Genomic DNA, 23,322 nt, shown 5'->3' on the forward strand with positions numbered 1-23,322 from the left:
AATGACCTTCCTCTAACCTGCAGAACATGTCTCATAACTAATTTAGAATTAAAAATAACACTCTATTTTAAGTTGTTATTAGCAGTTTAGACTGTGAAAGAAATCGAAAGATCTTTTCCAACATAGCAGCTTATTGAGTTCAGGTTTTGTTAGGAACAAGAAGGCAGAGTATATTAAAATAATCCAATGGTATGTTGTGCTCGGCATGGGAAGAAGAAGGCAATAAGGAATGAGGAAGACAGAGAATTGAATTCAGCATATAATGTGTTCCAATACCTATAAAAGGTAGACATTAATAAGTTTATTTTATAGATAAGAAAGAATGCCAAAGGAAATAAAACTAATGTCACATAGTTCATAATTTTGCCTATCACTATAAATCAACAAAGGGAAAATAATAACATATTGCTGATACACTTGTCAAGAGACCCCTTACTCCACATAAAGTATGTCCAGTATAATTTAGAGTACAATGTACATAAATTACTAAAAATAAGGACTATAGAAGTTATCATGTATCTTATTTATACCCAGCAGCAACCTGGACTTACTCATAAATGTGATCCCTAAAAGAAGATACATTGTTTCCTAAAGGGTCACAGTAAAAATTATCATAAATCTGTAAATTATTTAATGATTAAAAAAGTTTTGCTTTATTTGTTATGCTTCTCTGGGGGCTAAGGGTGAACAATAGATAAAATTAACACACTTTAAATGATTTACTTGTTTAAAATGTAAAGGGAAGGATGAATAAAGAAAAGGCAACAGAATTCCTCGAAGTAGGATGCACTGTAGGGTATCAGATATAGTTGTATGCATACAGAGAGAACTAAAATTTTGACACATTAATAAAACGATAAGCTAACATGTCAACATCTAAGATGCCTATATGTACTATATACATATAAATTTTGCAGGGCTAGAATGAAACAAATGGTTGAGGAAAACCAAAAAAACATACATGTGCACATATATGCCTATAGTCACACTAAGAAAGCACACTATTTCCAGAGCTAATTAGCTCACTATAAGGTAAAAGGGGGGAAACTCCTCTGTTTAGAGCAAGGAATACTAACTGCTTTCTATATAGGAGCTTGTTGATGGAAGGCCCATTCAAGGCTGGAAGCCTTACCACCTACTAGACTACAGAGGATGGAAATTTTCTGATCTGTGAAAAATCTAAATACGCAACATACCTTGATGTGCAGCAGGGGCAGACATAGCAGGACAGATAATAAGATTTTAATTAAGCAAGATACTTATCAAACCTCATGTTTTTATATTCCAATAACTTAAATGCTTACATGTCATAAGGACAAAATTATCTTCATTTTTAAAATGTAAGTTTTTAAATATAAAAGGAAAAGCTTTAAGAGGGTATAAGCAGCATCAGTTTACACTTTGTTTTCAGTTTTAAAAGGGCTTTAGAATCCACAGTAATAATTCTGATGTGTTGACTACCAGAAATTGAGGAAGACACACACAAGCAGAAGGTCTAATATCTCAAACTATTTTGTCCAGATCTATTTTTGCATGAGGCTAAGTGAAAGATGTTATGTATGACAAGATGTCAAACTCCACAAGAAAATGTATGAGAAGATGATAGTTATTCCTTCTCCAAAAAGGAACTCTAAAAGTGGCAAATGAATGTCCCGTTTCAAGATACACACAATTATTTTGGGATCTACATCCCATAATTGCTATTGGTGTGGTTGGGATAGAACTAATTATTCTTTGTGCTGGATTTGAGGCATTGTAGTGTGTGCCCTGGTGATGTCAGGGGGTATCATGAGACCCTACTTGGCTTATCTTTCTTACACAATCAAAATTAAAAGTTGGATGTTGGCAAATGGCTAGTAGTGCCCTTAGACCTGAGAAAGGCTGCTTCTGTCCTGGTCTTACACTATGAAAGGTCTCACATATTGCAAATATTAATTAACTAAATAGCCCCAGGGCATCTTTTCTGGCTCGCAATTAGGTAACAATGCCTCATCTAATTGTAGGCATCTACCCTGCTAATGAACACTTTCCAGGCTACAGACAAATGCTGCCTTTTCTCATTTGCTACATGTCTTCAAAACATAAGACAACCTCAGCCCAATTCTATGAATGCCTGTGGGTTGTACTAGTATTTATGTTGGGAACTGCTTTGGTGTATAGGAAAGAGCTGGAAAATCTTATATGAGAAAAAATGCTTATATAAGAAAAAAGGCAAATTAATTAATTTGCCAAACTCTCACTCTGAGGGAATAGTTTTCCAGAAGTGCCAAACATCAATTTCTAGGCCTCTGCTTGTATTCCAATTACGTTTTCAAAGATAGCCATTAATTGGCATCGTATTGCAACAGTTGATGTGGCAATTAAAAAAAAGTGTGATATTAAAAAATATAATTATTTATACGTTTACAGATATGAAATGGTTTGCAACTAGATGGAAAATGAATTGTATAATTGCAAATACTTTTAAGAAACAGATCAAATTATAGAAAGTATTAAGGGGATATTATTAAATTGAACAAATGATGCTTTTTAAAAGCTCATATCTCCATGTAGAAAAAATTAGAAATTAAGAAATTCTGAAATGACTTAAATTTTGTTTTAAGACAAAGAGTAATCACTATATATGCTCTTAAATTATATAATAGAACTAAACTATTTAATAATACTTAATTATAATTTATTATGTGACTCCATTATCATTTTATACATATTTCATTTTCAGTCTAAGTATTGTTTGTAAAATTTTATTGACAATCTCTTTTGCTAATGCTGCAGAATAGGAAAATTTCTCCAAATTAAAAGTCATGGAAAAAACTAACAAAGAACTACAATAGCTCAAAAATTTTATGTAGCAATAATGATGCTAGAAAAAAATGCAAAAGTGTTGATGTATTATCATAATTAGAGACTTTCTAAAATTAATAGCACATATAAATAGCTATATTCAGAAAACATACTATTTATGTAAAAATATTGTATTCATACCTTAGAGAAATCATATAACAATTTTCCACAAATTCTCAAGTGTATTTCTTTCATTTTATTGCTAATCTAATGTAAAATATCTTTATCTCAGTTTTAAAAAAAATCTTGTGGGTCTGAGAAGAGTTACCCGCTACTAGCTTTTCACACACACACACACAAAAAAAAACAGTGTTACTCATTAAAACTTCTGATATCTGAATCAGCAGTGGCTTTTATTCTAAAACTTTTTCAAAGGATCTGATTGAATGTTTGTCTTATAAGCTATTAATATATGCTGTGAAATGTCAAATTTATGACACAAATGAGTGTATTTTGTTATGACAAATGTCAAACTTATGACACAAAATGAGTGTATTTTCTTAAATTAAAATTTCAAATTGTAAAACGTTTCTATATTTGCTCTTACTAACTGAAAGATTAATTATATGTGCATATATGTGAAATAAATAAAATGGTATAGTCATAGCAAAATACTTATTTGTTTTAAAATGACTTGGAAAAATTCTAATAAACCTACACATGGTAAGAACAATTCACTTTTTCAAGAAGTATAACACTATGGTAAAGTTTTTAAAGTAGGTAATCGTGACATGAAGGGGAATAAGAACTACTTCAAAAGCTATAATTAAATGCATTATGTAAAAATTTTTGAAGTACATGTTTATACTTAGTTTCAGGACTTAACGAAGCAGGATATTCCCCTGACCTCTTGGTGGGACTCGTGAAGGTAGTGCCGGGTTTACTCAGCCCACAGCTCTCAACTCCTCGCAGGAGGGAGTGCCTGAGCCAGTGAGGCGTGAACAGGAGTACACCAGCGTTTGAGCCATCTGGCTGCTCTGGTGCCGGCAGGGGTGAACTGCACTCAGTTGGACCCCCTGCATCCACCCCTCATGGAAGGGGTCACTCAGGTGAGCAGGTACAGGAGCAGGCAGAATCTTTGGGTGCTGGCAGGAGTTAACTATGTGCCAGCCCTGCAGCAGCATCTGTGGGGGTGCCCGCAAACCCGGTAGCCCCAGAGGGAGTGTTACAGTGCTCTTTAGCTCGGCCGTCCATGGATGGTGGAAGGGTTAACAACTCAGTGGACCCTCTGCCTTTTCATGTGAGGTGGCTGCCTTCCAACAGCGAGGGCAAAGGGTCAGTATGACAGTCTTTCGCTTGGTGGTATCCAAGCTCTTGTCCAATGTCCTAGGAGAAATGAGGTCTCATGAATGAATTGAAGGATGGTAAATGCGGATGATTTTCTTGCCAATGGAAAGGGACCTGAAAAGGAGATAGTGTGGGAAGCTAATCTTCCCCTGAAGTCCGGCCACCTCTGGCCAATTTCTTCTCCGAAGTTATGCCATCAAGCTCTCCCTCTGAAGTCAAGCCACTTCTCTCCAATGTCATCCAACCACAGTCTCCTACACCCACCTGCTTCTCTTCTCTATGATGGCTGAGCTTGGGGTTTTTATGGGCACAGGATGGTGGGTACATCAGGCCATGGATTTTTTTTTTGGAAAAGGGAACATTCAAACAGGAAAACAGGGATGTAAGTTCTCACTTTGGGCCACAGCTTCATATTTTTCGGATTGAGGGTGGGCCCTCGCCAGAGACCTGCCCTCATCTTCCCAGAATCTCCCTGCCTCCTGTCCCTATCACTACAATCAAGCTCAGCTTATTTAAAGTTATAATCCGTAGATGTGTAAAATCTGGACCATGCTTTTCCCCTAATATTACAATATGCATTTTTAAATAGTTTATAAGACTCTCAACCAAAGTAACCTAAGGTACCTGCAACACTACCATACTAATGTGAACATGTTGGATACAAAGAACACAATGTTATAAGGGTGTCAAGTGCTAAAATACTAAATGTATTGAGTACTTAGTTTGCATGATATATCTATTACATTAAGATATAGTATTGGACTCTGAAAAACACAAAAGAATTTCAGGCATGAGGATTCCCTCCATTCAAGGGCTAATAGCCTAGTTGAAGAAACTTGAACACTGAATGCAGACAAAATGACACTAACGAAGAGCAGCATATAAAATACCTACAAAGTTCAACTCAGGTTAAGAAAAGGGAAATATTTTTGTGTACTAGTTTGCACATGATCGAATGCATCTTGGAGTGGTGGAAAATGTGTTTACAAATGGGTTCATATACTTGATTTAAAAAATCCATTGCTAAATGTTTAGTTTGCCATTTTAATACTTTAGATTTATACCTCTATAATCTTATTCTGTCCAAATTCATGTATAATCTGTACTGGCTGTCTATTCTAAATTAATAAAAAGTAAATTATTAAATATCATATTTAAATATCCATTTCACAGTTTTATTGATTTAACTCTCAACTAGGATCTTCTAGTATCTCCAAATAGCATTTTAAAGAATACAATTTTGGGGAAAAATGTATAAGGTTATGATCTATTTAAAGAAAAACGAGTTATTTGGGCCAGCATCCATAATTTCTATGGGAAAAATATCTAATTTTGAACAGAGAGACTACATACTTCATATGACTTCAATTATTTTACGTTTTTTGATACTTGATTTATGTCTTAAAATGTGGTCTATTTTAGCTTATTTCTACAAACATTCAGAGATAATGTGTCTTTGAGTCCTGTAGAATGAAGTGTTTGACCTAATCAATTAGTGTTTGACCTAATCAATTAGGTCAAATATATTAATGTGTTGTTAAAGCATTCTTTATCCTTAATAATTTGTCATCTACCTATCCCATCAATTACTGTGAAATTATCATTGAAATTTAAGAATATAATTGTGTATTTATCTATTTCTTCTGTAATATCTATCAGTTATCATTTTGCATCTCTGTCAGTATGGATAAAAAATTCAGGACACTTATTGTACTAGATGAATTGAGTTCTCTATCATTATGAAATGATCTTCATTTTTGTAACAGAATTGGTTCTGAAATCTACTCTACCTGTATTTTTGCTCTTAAATTGACTACAGCTTTCTTTTTATTTGTGTTAATGCAATATATACTGCATTATAGATACATACATATGTATATATAAATTCTTTCTCTATATCTATAATTATCTATCTATCTATCTATCTATCTCAGAGAGACAGCGCTATGTGTTCATCTTTAAAGCAGTTTTTTGATAACATATTTTAGGGCTTACTTTTTTATTCAATCTGATAAATTTTGTCTTTTAATTGGTATAACTAGGTCATTTAAATTTAGCATGATTATTAATAGGTTTAAGTCTGTATTGTTATTTGTTTCCTATTAAAATATTTTTGTTATTGTTTTATACATTTTGTGCACTCTCATGAATTACATTTTTTGTATTATATTTTATTTCCTTTATTGGCTTATTTTTTCATTAATATCCGTTTTTCCCATTATTTTTCCATTTTATGATAATTTATTGATCTAGAGTGTACATTATTACCTACCTCAGTTTAAATTAATGTGACATTCTACCACTTTACAATGAATGTGAGAACTTACCGTAGCATTCTTTATTTTCTCCTCTCCAGGCTTTGTGCAATTATCATCACATATTTGACTTCCACACATTCTACAAACCCCATGTTATATTGTTATTACTGTTACAAACAGGCAATTATCCTTTAAAGGCATTTTTATAATGTGAAAAATCTGACATATTTACCCATGTAGTAACCATTTCTAGTGGTATTTTTTTTCCTTTGAATAGATTTATATTACTATCTGCTAACTTGTTTTGCACAAAGGAAATTTTAAGCACTTCTTATAAGATGGATTTGCTGGTTATTAACTATTTCATATTTATAGGTCTAAAACGTCATTGTTCCACTTTGTTTTTGAAAGATATTTTTGCTAATGATAGGACACTAGTAATACAGGTTTAGGCTTTACCTCCCTTTTGATACTTTAAAGCCATTGGTCTGCTTTTTTCCTCTTTCACTGTTTCTGATGAGAACTCTGCTGTCATGCTTATGTTATATATCTCTACAAAATGTGTCTTTTTTGTTCTGCTGATGCTTATAAGATTTTTATCTTTACACTGGTTTTGAGGAATTAAATTATTTTCATATCATGAACAGAAGTTATGTTTATAATTTTTGATGTACTGCAATATGGCTAAATAGGACACTCACTTGCTTTGAAGGGAATTTGCCTTTTACTGATCAGAAGAAACAAACATTCTCTGCCTCCTCAAATCTTAGAAGCATTTTACTTATGATATTTATGTGTTAATCAGTAACAATCTAGTCTAGCTACAGTTTAATATGAAACATTAGGAACTTGGACTGTTAACACTTTTAGGTGCAGGAATATCATGTAATTATTTTTAATAAGTAATCATTTATAATAAATTATTTTACATTTACACAACAGTGTAAGTTTTCTGTTTACATTTAATCTTTAGCTTTGTGCTCCTTAATAATATATAGTTTTAATTCCCCAAATCAACCTTTTCTATGATGAATAATTTGTAATCGTTTATTTTTTATTTAACTATAACATTTAATTTCTTGGCATACTTTTAAATGAAATCAAGATTCACCAAGAATTTGTTATAGGTATGTAATATAGGTTAGTACATAAATACATAAATAAGTAGATAGAAAAGCCTGGGCAACATAGTGATACCTTATCTCTACAAAAAATAAAGAAAGTTAGCCAGGCATGGTGGCACGTACCTATAGTCCTAGCTACTCAGGAGGCACATGTGGGAGGATGACTTGAGCCCTGGAGGTTGAGGCTGCAGTTAGCTGAGATTGTGCCACTGCACTCCAGCCTGGCTGATGGAACAAGACTCTGACTCAAAAATAAATAAATAGTTGAAAGTGAGAGGAATGGGGGAAGAAAAAGGAAATAAGAAATATCTGGATAGGTAAATAGCCAAATGAATCTGGCTTACATTGTCTCTGAATCAAGCAAAGGTTTAATCATTTATGTTTTGATATATTTTGACATGTAATATTCAGTAGAATTTTGGCTTGAACCTCATTGTTGTTTAGCTAAGTGCATTCACCATGGAGATTAGTAAGTTCCTAATGATAATTTAATTTTATTCACCCTGGAAGCAAGATTTTTGGCCCAGAGAAGAAGTGATTTTCTGTTTTTACCCACGAAGGCCAGTTATTTTATTCCTTTAGTTCTTTTTAGAAAATAAAGTGTTCCCAGTGAAGAAAAGATTACTAAATAAAATAAAAAATGGCATAAGAAACACAAAGAATATTAAGATACTTAGAATTAATATTCTGCATACCTAAGTCAAAAAGTTAATTAAAACTGCCATTTTAGTTTGAAACAGTAAGCCAATGCCTGCCAATAAATCAAATGCTTGCTAAACTGGCTTTAGTTAATAATTATATTAGGAATTCACGACTACCCAGTTTATGTATAGAAAAAATGAAATGTTGAGAAAACAGAGATCAAAATGTTATTACTACAAACTTTTGAATATGCAAGACTCCACATCAAGATTAACTCTAATTTCTACCTCAGGATTAGGCATCACTGGCTGGAATTTATTTCCTTGACATGATTTAGAAAGATGATTCAGTAAAGTATTAAATCATTATCTCCTCTTTTAAAAAATCATGAATAACCTGGGTTAGGTTCAAAGAGTCAATTTGGTGAGAATTCTAGGATTTTGAGTAATATTTAAATTTCAATTCAAAATGGATTCAATACAAAAAAGTATATACACAACAGCTTTAAGTAAATCAAAAATTAAAATGATGAATTTTTGTTGAAATATGTGTTGACCAGATTATTCACTATCTTCTTGAATGAAATGAAATCTTCTCACTGTTGCCTTTAATTTGTTTTTGTTTTAATGTATGGAATTGCAATCACAATGAAACTGCATAGCTTGTTTCCTGCCTACATAAAATCTTGTCACGACTAAGGCTCCATCTCTCGCTTCCAGAGTGTTGCTAATTTATGCTACTTGTGTTTCTTAAAAATTACATCTGTGAGCTCTGAAGGAAAAAATCCAGGTCATAAAGCTAGTAATTAGGACTTACAAAAACTTAAAAACTTTAGCTAATTGGATATATGATATCACTGGAATTAAAATTAATTTGAAATTCTAAAACTGTTAAATCTAAGTATTTTCAAAATAGCAATCTATGTGGAATGTGCATACTCCAAGCAAATCTCTTAAGACAAATTTTCTTGTTATTGCATTGTCCCACTAACTAAAACACACTAAATGAGTAAGCCGTTCATGTGTTTTCCAAAATTCTATGTTACTTTTAATGGAATATTTCATGTATCCAAAAAGGAATGACAATAATACTCATAAATTTGAAACCCAAATGTCATCCCCATTAAAAATAGCCCATATAGATTAGTAAAGCCTCTTACACAAATCTCTATGATTCCATTTCCCTCCTCTTTATCTTGTGGGTAACCATTATTCTATGTGTGAAGGTTGTTATTCTTATATATATTGCTCCCAACAAACGCTTATCTAAGCTCTAGGGAGATTGTAGTAAATAATACTGTAAACATTTTCATGCACATATGTTATGTCAGATTGTGAGAAGTACTATAAAAAAATAAAGAAAGCAAGAGTAATTGGGATAGGCAGAGCTATCATTTAAACACACACACACACACACACACACACACACACCACAAGTCTCTCCAATTATATGCTCCTTCAATGACTTCATTGATCAGTTAATATTTCAGCAGGAATTGGAAGAAAGTAAAGGACAAGGCATATGGATATTTTGCAAAACAGAATTACAGATAAATGTTCAAAGATCTAAATCAGAACAATCTGTGTTTGAAAAATGAGGCTGGTGTGGCTGAGATATGAAGTCATAGATAAATTGGGGTAGACAATATAGAAATGATGTTTTAATAGATTTTGATTTTATTCTGAGTGCTATGGAAGGCATTGCAGGGTTCTGAGTGGAGGATTGATATTTTCCAATTCACACTTCAAGAAACCACTTTGGTAGCTGTTGAAAATGGGTTATTGGAAGGCAAGGATGAAAAGTTGGAGACCTGTTTGGAGACTATTACAAATATCCAGGTAAGAGAACAATAGTGACTTGGGACCAAGTGGTAGGGATAAAAATTAGATTGATTCTGGGTATAATATGAAGAGACATTTCAGAGTTTTTTCTGGTACATTAGATATCTGATATAAAACATACCATTTTGCTTATACACTGCTGGCAGAAATGTAAATTAGTTTCATCATTGTGTAAAGCCATGTGGCGATTACTTGAAGAACTTAAAACAGAAGTAGCTGGAAATACAGGTGCCTGCCACAACGCCCGGCTAATATATATATATATATATATTTTATTTTTAGTAGAGATGGCGTTTAACCGTGTTAGCCAGGATGCTCTCGATCTCCTGACCTCGTGATCCGCCCGCCTCGGCCTCCCAAAGCGCTGGGATTACAGGCGTGAGAAGTAGCTGGGAGGCTGAGGCGGGAGAATGGCCTGAACCCTGGAGGTAGAGTTTGCAGTGAGCCAAGATCGCGCCACTGCACTCCAGCCTGAGTGACAGAGCAAGACTCCGTCTCAAAAAAACAAAACAAAACAAAACAAAACAAAACAAAAACAGAAGTAGCATTCGACCCAGCAATTTCATTATTCTCTATATACCCAAATGAATATAAGTTGGTCTACCATAAAGACACATGCATACATATATTCATTGCAGTACTATTCACAATAGCAAAATCAAGGAATCAACCTAAATGCCCATTAATGGTAGATTTGATAAAGAAAAGGTGGTATGTATACCCCATTGAATACTACACAATCGTAATAAAGAAGAAGAACATGTCCTTTGCAGGCAACATGGATGGAGCTGGAGGCCATAACCAAAGACTGCATGTTTTCACTCGTAAGTGGTAGCTAAACATTGAATACACATGGACACAAAGAAAGTAACAACAGCGACCATGGCCCACTTAAGGGCAGAGCATGAGAGGAGGGAGAGCATCAAAAAACTACCTATTGGGTACTATGCTTATTACCTGGGTGACAAAATAATCTGAACACCAAATCCCGATGACATGCAATTTAGCTATATAACAAACCAGCCCATATATCCCTGAACCTAAAATAAAAGTTAAAAAATAAAAATAAATAACTAAAAGAGACATTTTCTGTTTTGTGTAATCTTTTGATTAACAAACATTTTTAATTTTAATATAATCCAATGTATCATTCATTTTTATGATTTATAATTTTTATATCCTCTTCTTCCCCAATAACATAATTGCATTTCCCTAAACGTTCTTGTAAATATTTATATTATTATTTCTATGATTTCAATTCACTTGGGATGTATCTTCGTGCCTGGTGTAAGGCAGGGATACTTGTTTATTTTGCTCATATGTACAACCCCTGTCACTGCACTGTTTATTGATCAATCCTTTTTTCTCCTGTTGAGAAGTAGTGCCCTATCTGTTGTATATGAAGTCCTCATATATGTGTGGTTTATTTCTGGGCTCCATAATCTTTTCTAATGCTCTTTTTCTATATTTAACATATTCAAAGCATTATTTACTGAAGTTTGATAAATCATAACATAAGGAAAACAAATTCTCCGCTTTTTCTTTTCTTTTCTTTTTTTTTTTTTTTTTTTTTGAGATGGTGTCTCTCTCTGTCGCCCAGGCTGGAGTGCAGTGGCGCCCTCTAGGCTCACTGCAAGCTCCGCCTCCCGGGTTCACGCCATTCTCCTGCCTCAGCCTCCCTACAGGCGCCTGCCGCCACGCCCAGCTAATTTTTTTTTGTATTTTTAGTAGAGACGGGGTTTCACTGGTCTCGATCTCCTGACCTCGTGATCCGCCCTCCTTGGCCTCCCAAAGTGCTGGGATTACAGGCGTGAGCCACCACGCCCGGCCAATTCTCCGCTTTTTCAAACGCTATTGCTTTTGTTCTTGGCTAATTATATCTCCATATTTATATTGAAATGAGTTTCATAATTTCCCAATTATTATTGGTATGGTTTTTTATTAAAATGTCAAATTATGGGTTAAAATAGAGATGTTTAACATATTGATGTCAGATTTACTTATCCACAGACACAAAATATCTAGCTCTTCATTAACATGTTTCAAAAGCATATTTAATTATTCAATTACAAAGTCATGACATTAATTTTTTTTTTTTGAGACAGAGTCTTGCTCTGTTGCCCAGGCTGGAGTGCAGTGGCATGATCTTGGCTCACTGCAACCTCTGCCTCCCGAGTTCAAGTGATTCTCCTGCCTCAGCCTCCCAAGTAGCTGGGATTACAGGTGCCCACCACCACACCCGGCTAATTTTTGTATTTTTAGTAGAGACAGGGTTTCACCATATTGGCCAGGCTGGTCTTGAACTCCAGACCTTGTGATCCACCGACCTTGGCCTCCCAGAGAGCTAGGTTACAGGCGTGAGCCACCACACCCAGCCTGATGTTATAATATTTAAACTCAAAACTTCTAATAGTCAAAAATCTAATTTTAAGATTTACTTATTTTATGAAAACATGAATAGTCATGTACTTGAAGAATATAAATGCTTACAGTTGGTAAATTATAATGAGGGAAAGATTGGCTGAGGCAAAGTTTTAGTCAGGGAAAGAAGATGGAAATGTGTGATTTAAGAAATCAAAAGGAATTTAAGTGAACTAAATCAGAAAAAAATAGTAAGTAAAGAATAATGCTTTTGTGGGGTAAAGAAAAATAAGGTGCAAGGCTTTCATAAATATAGATACTACATAGATATATACCTATTTGGTATAAGCTTAAAGGTACGAAGGTATTGATACAAACAACCCACACTGGTTACCTGGAGGGTGTGGCATTACAAGATAATTGGGGAAGAAGAGAATATTAACTATTATTTTTAATATACCACAGTATTTTTACCTCGCATTTTTGATAATGTATTGTTACTTTTAAAATTAGCAAATAGTTAATTAAATAATTTAAAAACAAATTAGTGAGAACATTTGGTAGCAGCTGGCCATCAGCTAACAACTCTGCTGTTAACATTTGTAATAATAACCAAGATTTCATCTAACTTCCTCTTCCTTTTTTCCCTAATCCACAAAACACAGATCAGGGAAACTGAGATTCATTGTTTAACTCCCATCCTCCTGCTCTGCAAAGTATTGCCTCAATTAAATTTTTAAAAATTAAGAGTGGAAAATATAAAAGATGGGAAAAAAAGTGGAAAACCAGGGTAACTTACAATGAGACAGGGAGAAACAGAGAAAAAATATGAGAAATGAAAACAAAATTTATAGAACTTGGGATTTATAACTGTCGTAAAAAGCCATAGATAGTACATTGGCAGAGAAGTTACATATATTTACAATAATAAAGACACATTAACAGAATTTTTAATTCTGTAAAATAATTTTGCTTAATTACTTGTAATAGAGAAATGATTTTCCCACATGATATAAGAGTTGAGTGCATGGCAAAAGTAGTTTCCATGTCAACTTTTATTAATCAAGTTATATCCAATGTGTTGATACTCTAAAATAACATTCCATAGTCACAAATAAAAGTTCGTCATTTTTTAATTTTGTTTACTTACTTATATATGTGTTTATTTTATTCACAGTAGTAGTATCTGATCTCTTTAACCCTATGCTGAAAATTCTTAATTATGGAAATTAATTAAAGTGATTAACATATATCCAACCTAGTTAAGGAGTTTGATATTACTGTTGTAAAGGGAGGACTGAGCCTTGCAAATCAAACATAAATACTTTATTTAGAAGGCCCTGGATTTCCAATTCCTTAAGATTGCTTTAGTGAAATATTAAAACATAAATTAGAAAAGATAAATACAAGAATAAACATACAGAAACATATCAGTGCCTTTAAAATTCTGAGACAAAATTGTTTTGATTAAAACATTTAAATAATTTTTCAGTTTTAATGAAACAGGAATTTCAATGCTGTATTATAAACATTTTAAACATTATGACATATAAGTTATTTATATCTTGTATAAATACTGTTTAATAGGATGTAGGTTTATTTTTGGCTTTTGTTTTGTTTAATTTTGTTTTCTCTTGGGCTTTAGTTTGTTTCCAGAGAATTCCTTACTGATTATTTAGGAAAATGGAATGAAATTATCCTAGGAGATCCTAACTACCATCGAGAAGTTCAAGTTCAGTTCACAAAGACTCCATCCTATTGAGTTATAAGTTTATACAAGAAAATAAATCTACCGATATTAATTGTCTCTGCAAATTTGCGTAAAGAGAATGTATTTATTAAGCACTTAATGAAAGTGCAATGTATTTAAAAACTGAAATTTCTTTTCAGTTAGGTATATTTTGTAATTGGTAACTATGAAGATAGGTGGTTATAAGTGGGAGCATTTACTGTGCTTGAAAAATTCCGTTGTATCATTCAGAAAAAAATAATTTTGCCACCATTACAACAAAACTTCATAAAGGGTTATCTTCTGTTAAAAATGTTCTCGTTGATTTCTGTCACATCTTAATTTCTGAATTCTGTAGATATTTTACACATCCAATTTTACCTCAGAAGAGTCATTTTGTTCCCATATTTGTGGGTGATTTCCACATGTGATTTTGTCCTAGTCTTGGTTTCACATAATATAAAAGCGATGACTATAATGATGGTCATACAATTTGAATCTCTCCATCTTCCTTTTAGAAGCTACACACATCAACAGGAAAATCAAATACCATCACTCTTATCCAGATTTACAGAGGAAGCAGGAGACAAAAGGATCTCAATTTAATTGGAGAAATAAATAAGAGCTGCTGAGTCAGCCCCTTAGCAGAGAATCAGGCAGGGCATGCACAGATAAAGAGTTTGGGCCCTTTAAAGTGGATAAGCTCTGAAAATATACCCACAGCTTACACCCAGAAGGTTATTCTCCACACCTAAGTGAAACATTTTAAAGTGAATTTGAGTTCTGGAGGTTCAGAAGAATAGTTACAAGGAAGCTAAAAAGAAAGGGCTTGGAAAGTGTGGAGGTTCAAGCTCACAGTTTTGGAAAAGAGGCACCTTGGATGGTGATTTCTGGTTTTGTAAAGAAGGCTAATAAAGAAAAAATGGCCCTATTTATACAAGTACTAAAGGTTTAGAAGACAGACAGAAAGCACTATTCATTGAAGATATGACTCTTCTCTCTAGAAACAATAGAAATAGTAAAAGAACCAAAAAAATCAAACTAAATATGCCATCTAACCCTTCTCCCATAGGGTTTCTAACTGTAGCTGATCTAGAAAAACAACACAAATGTGTGTAAAGTGAGGGTGTGGAGAAGACATCAGAATCAAGCATCCTTAAAAAGTACCATAAAGAACAGAAGATAAATGGACCAAATTGTCTTTCTTATTGCTTTTCTTTTTTTTTTTTTTTTTTTTTTCAGACGGAGTTTTGCTCTTGTTTCCCAGGCGGGAGTGCAATGGCGTGATCTCGGCTCACCGCAACCTCTGCCTCCCGGGTTCAAGCAGTTCTCCTGCCTCAGCCTCCCGGGTACCTAGATTACAGGCATGTGCCACCACGCCGGCTAATTTTGTATTTTTAGTAGACACGGGGTTTCTCCATGTTGGTCAGGCTGGTCTCAAACTACCGACCTCAGGTGATCCTCCTACCTCAGCCTCCCAAAGTGCTGGGAGTACAGGCATGAGCCCCTGCGCCTGGCCTCTCTTTCTTATTTCTAAGTGACTATATTTAAGAAAAAAACAAAACAAAACAAAAAAGAACATGTTATACACACACACACACACACACACAAAATACCTACATGCTCATTAAATACTATTTTCCTGTGCCATCTAAGCATATGTTACAGCTGTTAACACTATTCTATATATCATATAAAATATCTTTTCCCCTGGATTATAAAGGATTGAAAATAACATTTATTAAATATGAAAGTTTCAATCAGTAGGAAATAAGTTAAAGTAGAAACAACAGCCAGCTCAGTATCTACATTGTTTTATAGCTTTATTAAATAAGAATCTGCTTATTAGTCTGAAGTATAATGGCTAAAGTAATATATTTATACTCTCATCCTATTAATCACAACTCCTTAAGAAAATTGCCACCAATAGTTTTTTCCTCTACAAATAAGCCAACAATAAAAAGAGGTAAAATATAGATGATAAAATACAGGAAAAATGTAGAAGAGATGCCTGAGCACAAATAGAAACAATTAAGAATGAGGAATATTGAGTATAGAAAGAGAAACGGAAAAGAAATAGAAATAAAATCACACATTAAAAATGATCACAAAACAGGAAAATGACATATATTGAAGACTGGAAATAGAACAAAATTAATATTTTTGTTCTATTAAAGAAATCCTTCCTGAAATGGGGTCAGGGACTTTGAATCTACGTAATTCAAGGTTTCAGAACTTGCCAGGGAAAAATAATAATACTAATTATTATTATTAATTTTATTATATTTATTTATTTTTTTTGAGACAGAGTCTCCCACTGTCACCCAGGCTGGAGTGCAGTGGCACGATCTCGGCTCACTACAAGCTCCGCCTCCCGGGTTCACATCATTCTCCCACCTCTGCCTCCCGAGTAACTAGGACTACAGGCGCCCACCACCACGCTTGGCTAATTTTTGTTTTTGTATTTTTAGTAGAGATAGGGTTTCACTGTATTAGCCAAGATGGTCTCGATCTCCTGACCTCGTGATCCACCTGCCTCAGCCTCTCAAATTATTTTTTCCAGTCAAAGTATAAGGACCTCCAAGTAAAACAGACCAAGTCACATACACAGGAAAGAAAATGAGACATGAGTCAGAATTCTGGATGGCAGCACACAGGGTATGACAGCAGTGAAGTAACAAGAAGAAATCCATGATTTCTTTCACTGGACAAGTATATATCCACCTAATCTGACCTTCAAGTATAAACTCTACAGAAATAAAGTTCCAAATATGCCACAATAGAATTAACATTGTGCGCAAGAGCCACTATTACCAGAGAACCTAATAGAGAATGACCTTCATTCCAGAAAATATGAGTAGAAAAAAAATGAGCAAAAAATTAATGTAGCTGAAGACTTTAGATTAAAATAAAAGTTGGGGGGGAGGGATAAGAGTAAATATGTATCAGGTTGGTGCAAAAGTTATTGCAGTTTATGGCATTTTTTTTTTTAAATGATGAAAACCGCAATTACTTTTGCACCAACTTAATATGGTGACAAAATAGAAACATATAACTAAAATATGGACAAAGAAGGGAGAGGAGACAAACAGAAATCACTCACTGATTGCTTGGTAGGTAATAGGTGGAAGTTTAAGATATAATTCAAAGCTGACAAACAGGATAGCAGAATTGAAATAAGGGAAAGGTAATAAGGCTACTATAAAAAGTTTTAGTGTGGAGGCAAACACTAGAATGAAACAGAATTTCCCAAAGAAAAAAGTAAAATAAAACTCTAAAATTTAAGATTGCCATGAAACTGAAAACACAATAAATAATTCAGTGTATATATAATACAAAGTGTATAGAAGAACTGAGACAAGAGGTCCGTTGTACTGATGAATGGAAATAAGCTTAGCTCACTTATTAAAAACAAAATGTGTTGTTATTGGCATATAGACGAAAACTTGACGCTGTTATATAAAAGACACATTTTACTTGTAATTGGAATGGATAAAAATAAATGGTCAATATCATGTAAGACAAATGTGAACAAAAAATAAACTGAGGGTGGTGATAGGGATATCTGACAAGTTATAATTTACATCAAATAATAAAATGGAACAAAGTACGACACCAAACAACACAGCTGTGAGGAATACTCTTCATAATGTCAAACAATTAAAATAAATAAAAGGAGAACAGAAATGCACTAGTTATATGCAACCTTGACACATTTCTCTTAGTGCAAAACAAATCATGTGGACGAGAAATGCATAAGAATATAGAAAAGCCAACTGATCAAATTAATGAGGTAGTTATTGTGGATTTTTAGTGGATATATAACTAACAATTCAGAAAAGTGGCAAAGTAAACAAAATGAGAGAAAGACATAAGCAAAATGGTATGTTTTAATAGAGAAAAACACTGAGGCCAATAAATATGCTGCTTCTTTGAAAAATATCTAAATTCAGAAAAGAAGTCAGAAATGTACACACACACCCAAACTAATAAGGGGAAATAAATAATTGGTACTGTAAAAATTGATCATATGATTGGGTCTTTCTTTACATAACTAACTGTAACAGAGTCAAGAGGCCAGGAGTAAAAAGCACTCCGGGCATGTATCAGTCCGTTTTCACACTGCTGATAAAGACATACCTGAGACTGGGTAATTTATAAAGAAAAAGTGGTTTAATGGACTCACAGTACCAAGCAGCTGGGGAAGCCTCACAGCCATGGCGGAAGACAAAAGGCACATCTCACAAGGTTCCAGACAAGAGAGAATGAGGACCAAGCAAAAGGGGTTTCCCCATATAAAACCATTAGATCTGATGAGACTTATTGGCTACCATGAGAACAGTATAGGGCAACTGCCCCCCATGATTCAATTATTTCCCACTGGGTCCCTCCACACAACATATGGGAATTACAGGATCCACAATTCAAGATGAGATTTGGGTGGGGACACAGCCAAACCATATCAGGGCATAAAACATTACTCTAAGAATGTAATTCTCTACAAGTCTAATTTCTGAAACTGCCTGTTCTTACCTAAAAGCAGTTTTATCTAATAGCTACTGAAACAACCAGCTCTGACTGTAAGATTAGTTTTACCCACCTCTGTAACCAATCAGAACTTGCCTATTAACTTTCTTTCAAAACAATAAGTAGCATTTCTCCTTTTTATAAAATCTCCAAACTTGTCTTTGTTCTTTGGACATACTGAAGACCACCTAGCCTTTGTGTTTGTTCTGAATTGCAAATTTTCATTTCCCAAATAAAATATTTTAAATTGAGAGATTGTCTGTTACAGACACTGGAAATTTAAAACAACAAATTTGAAAGACCAAAAGAAAGGAAGGAAGGAAACCAATTAGTCACTTTTTCTAAGAAAATATATTTCATAAAAACTGACTGACTGCAGCAGAGACAGGCTTAATTTGCAATTTTCTAAGAAGTAGTGGGATTTATCTAAGACCTCTTTCCTACCCACACTAAGACACAGTCTCATATATTTTCAAAGGGGAATCCTACCACATCTTCAGAAACAAGATAATCCTAACAACATTTTAAGAAGCACAGAAAAATGAAAATAACAATGATACCTGTGATAGAGTGAATGGTGGCTCAAAAAATATATGACAATCTCCTAACTCTGATCTTATTGATCTTGTTTGGAAAAAGGACCTTTGCAGATGTAATTAAGTTAAGGATCTTGAGATTCAGAGATTACTGTAGAATATCCAGGTGTGCCTTACATGGCATCACAAGTGTTCTTATAAGAAGAGGCTGAGAGAAGTTGGGCACACACAGAGAGCACAAGGCTATGTGAAGATGGAACACAAAGAGATGCGGCCACATGTCAAGGAATGCTGACAGCCCCCAGCAGGTGGAAGAGGCAAGGAATGGATTATCTGTAGAGCAACTAAAGGGCATGTGGCTCTGCTGATGGCTGAGTTTTGGCATTCTGGCCCCAAAAATCTGTGAGAACTAGTAAGTAACTATTAAATTACCAAGTTTGTAGTCATTTGTTAGCAGCACAGGAAACTAATAGGTACCTAACCCTGCGAAAAGTGGAAAGAAAAGAGAACTGCAGAGCAATATAAATGCAAAAATCTGAAGCAATATGTTAAAAAGAACAATATACTGGCAGATTTTTAAGAAATGATGATGGATACTTATTCTAGGATTGCATGCAAACCTCAATATTAGTAAATCCATTAATTCAGCGATGAGAATTAGAAGAAAAGTAATATGCAGTCATGTGTTCCTTTTTTTTTTAATTACCAAAAAGGCAATGTTTATTTCTGGTTTTCACAAACTTAATAAAATAGAAATAGATGTTTTCTTAATTTGATTATATATATATATATTATATATATATTATATATATATATATATATGTAAGCTGGGGCTTCAGTAACTTACCATGAAGTCTGGACTGAATTTATCTGTGACAAATTAATTATTATCATCTTTATTATCTATGGGTGGGGATAGCCTTTGTAGCTATGACTCAGAATCAAGTTTCTGAAACTTTTAATTAATTAAGCCAAAAAAAAGAGATCCTGTAAATAAATATTAATCTATTTATTTATGTAGATGCAAAACTGCAAATGTTAATGATAAACTAGATTGTGAATGCACGGATGCTCATTGTTCTATTCTTTCTACTTTTACCTATGTTACCCATTTTTTTCCAGATTAAAAAAGAGGTATACTTCAATGAGATCTCCTTTGGTGCCCACCAAAAGCAAGTTTAGTGATAATTGTGTATCACGTTTTGTCCCAATTTTAAAAAGGAGAAGAATGGAACATTCCAGATCAAGAGGAAAAAGATATAGATATTATAGTACAAATCTAGGATAAATAGAGAATTTAACTTTTAGAATTCACTCGTTATCTTGGTAGTCATAAATGAAAAGTGCTAGTTTAATGGGGAAAGGATTCCCTATTTCATAAATGGTATTGGGAAAACTGGCTAGCCATATGCAGAAAACTGAAACTGGACCCCTTCCTTACACCTTATACAAAAATTAACTCAAGATGGATTAAAGATTTAAACATAAGACCTAAAACCATAAAACCCTAGAAGAAAACCTAGGCAATACCATTCAAGACATAGGCATGAGCAAAGACTTCATGACTAAAGCAAGAAAAGCATTTGCAACAAAAGCCAAAATTGACAAACGGGATTTAATTAAACTAAGAGCTTCTAGAGAGCAAAAGAAACTATCATCAGTGTGAACAGGCAACGTACAGAATGGGAGAAAATTTTTGAAATCTATCAAAGGGCTAATATCCAGAATCTACAAGGAACTTAAACAAATTTACAAGAAAAAAAACCAAACAGCCTCATCAAAAAGTGGGCAAAGGTTATGAACAGACACTTCTCAAAAGAAGACATTATTGCGGCCAAAAACCATATGAAATAAAAGCTCATCATCACTGGTCATTAGAGAAATGCAAATCAAAACCACAGCAAGATACCATCTTGCTCCATTTAGAATGGTGATCATTAAAAAGTCAGGGAACAAAAGATGCTGGAGAGAATGTGGAGAAATAGGAACCATTTTACACTGTTGGTGGGAGTGTAAATAAGTTCAACCATCGTTGAAGACAGTGTGGTGATTCCTCAAGGATCTAGAACTAGAAATACCATTTGACCCAGCAATTCCATTACTGGTTATATACCCAAAGGATTATAAATCATTCTACTATAAAGACACATGCACATGTATGTTTATTGCAGTGCTATTCACAACAGCAAAGACTTGGGACCAACCAAAATGCCCATCAATGTCAGGCTGGATAAAGAAAATGTGGCACACATAAACCATGGAATACTATGCAGCCATAAAAAAGAATGAGTTCATGTCCTTCGAAGGGAAATGCATGAAGCTGGAAACCATCATTCTCTGCAAACTAACACAGGAACAAAATATCAAACACCATATGTCCTCACTCATAAGTGGGAGTTGAACAATGAGAACATATGGGCACAGGGAGAGGAACATCACACACCGGGGCCTATCGGGGGGTGGGGGGTAAGGGGAGGGTTAGCATTAGGAGAAATACCTAATGTAGATGATGGGTGGATGGGTGCAGCAAACCACCATGGCACGTGTATACCTATGTAACAAACCTGCACATTCTGCACATGTACCCCAGAAAGTAAAGTGTAATTAAAAAAAAAAAAGAAAACAAGAGTGCTAGTTTTATTTTTTTATTTTAAAGTTTCTATTTTTATAAGCAGACACACAAATACACATGTACATCTTTATGTCTCACTATTAATAAAAGCTGCTCATCTCCTAAAAATTACTAATAATTGGGATGGCCTGTTAATTTAAAGTTGCTATATTTAGGAAATTGGAAAATAAATCAGGAAGTGAACATTCCTGATATGATACAAATATCATAGTAAAAGAAAAATAAAAACATTTATTGTTAATTGATTATTAATTCAAATGAAATAATAGAGATATAAAACATTGTCTTTAGGTTAGGTAATAAAGTAAAACAAAGAAATTGCCAAAGTTTATTAGAAATTAGAATCTCTTGCCAAAACAGCAAGGAAGAAGAAATCTAAATCCAGCTCTGCTGTAGTAACGAAAGTGAAAGTATTGTCAAGTATTCTCATATAATTTCCATTTCCCATTTGAAGCCACCTTAAACATTAAAAGCACTATTCTATCAATTTGATTAAAATTGACAAATTGTTGAATCATAAATTAGCCACAAATATATTTGCTAGCACTGAAAAACATTCAGAACTACGCTAAATGACATTTAAACACATATTCATCTCGTGACAGATGAAAAGGGAAAATAGGAACTAAGCTGAAGATGATGAATATATTTAATATTTCATACTGATTCTATAGATTCAAATGCATAGAATTAAACGGAGAAAGAAGGGAGGTGAAGGAAAAAGGATTGACTGGAAAATTAAATATGAATGAAACTCCCAAAAAAAGAAAGGGAACATTAAAGTCCCAATCATGCCTATTGGGATGTCTAAATTTGAAATTATACAAAAATTGTGAATATAGACATGTCAGTGTCAATGTCCTGCTTTCTCTCTGCTTTTTCTTTCTTCAGTGTTCACCTAATGAGGCAGAAACGTCTGTTTAAGTTCCTAGACTGGTGTTTGAACACCTTGGTTTTCCTGCTTTTTTTTTCTGCATCCATGGTAAATAATCTAAATTACAGTGAATAAAAGGGATGAAAACTCCCAACCAGGGAAAAATACCATTCAACTCCTCTGTTACCAGAAAATGAAGTGTGAACCAGGTCTCAGTTCAACCTTGTTTGTATTCTGACTTCTGAGACACGGGACAAGCTACTCAACCTTTCTGAGCCTCAGTTTCATCTTTAAAAGAAATATTAATAGTAGTAATTATATCTGAAAGCCCATACTACATAAAACAATGAGACACTGAAAAATACATATGCTACAAACCATCTGAAATCAATTGTATTCTTTTTGTGGTTTGCTTTATATACTAGTAAGAGTTGTTTGGGATTCCAGTTAATGTGGTAAGAAATGAAAATACACAATTTATCTCACTTCCTGTCAAGCTCTATTAAAAAGAATAAATGTTAAAAACACCAAAAAAAATCCAAGAGCTTCACAAATGTAAGCATCAGATGTAGGTAGGTGATGAAAACAGGAGGATCACGTGCAACTTTGCATTTCAAACTTCTTGGTCCTTTGATTCATTTCATACAGTTGTATCCCACTACCCCTC

General features: G+C 33.8%; 1 protein-coding gene across 1 annotated transcript in view, besides 1 other annotated feature; it reads right to left on the reverse strand.

Annotated features, from left to right (window-relative positions):
* PCDH15 (protocadherin related 15) overlaps positions 1-23,322 on the reverse strand; it is a 1,825,172-nt gene that overhangs the window by 1,619,759 nt on the left and 182,091 nt on the right. The gene's annotated exons all lie outside the window — the stretch shown is intronic.
* Positions 928-1,097: an enhancer, noted in NCBI's record as "experimental_13381 CRE fragment used in MPRA reporter constructs". NCBI's record gives its function as "activates a minimal promoter by MPRAs in K562 erythroleukemia cells, with activity observed for both the introgressed and non-introgressed 10:57183302 variant alleles {active_cell/tissue: K562}" and the evidence as "EXISTENCE:reporter gene assay evidence [ECO:0000049][PMID:34662402]".

Source organism: Homo sapiens, chromosome 10 (assembly GCF_000001405.40).
Source record: "Homo sapiens chromosome 10, GRCh38.p14 Primary Assembly".
NCBI classification, from domain to species: domain Eukaryota; kingdom Metazoa; phylum Chordata; class Mammalia; order Primates; family Hominidae; genus Homo; species Homo sapiens.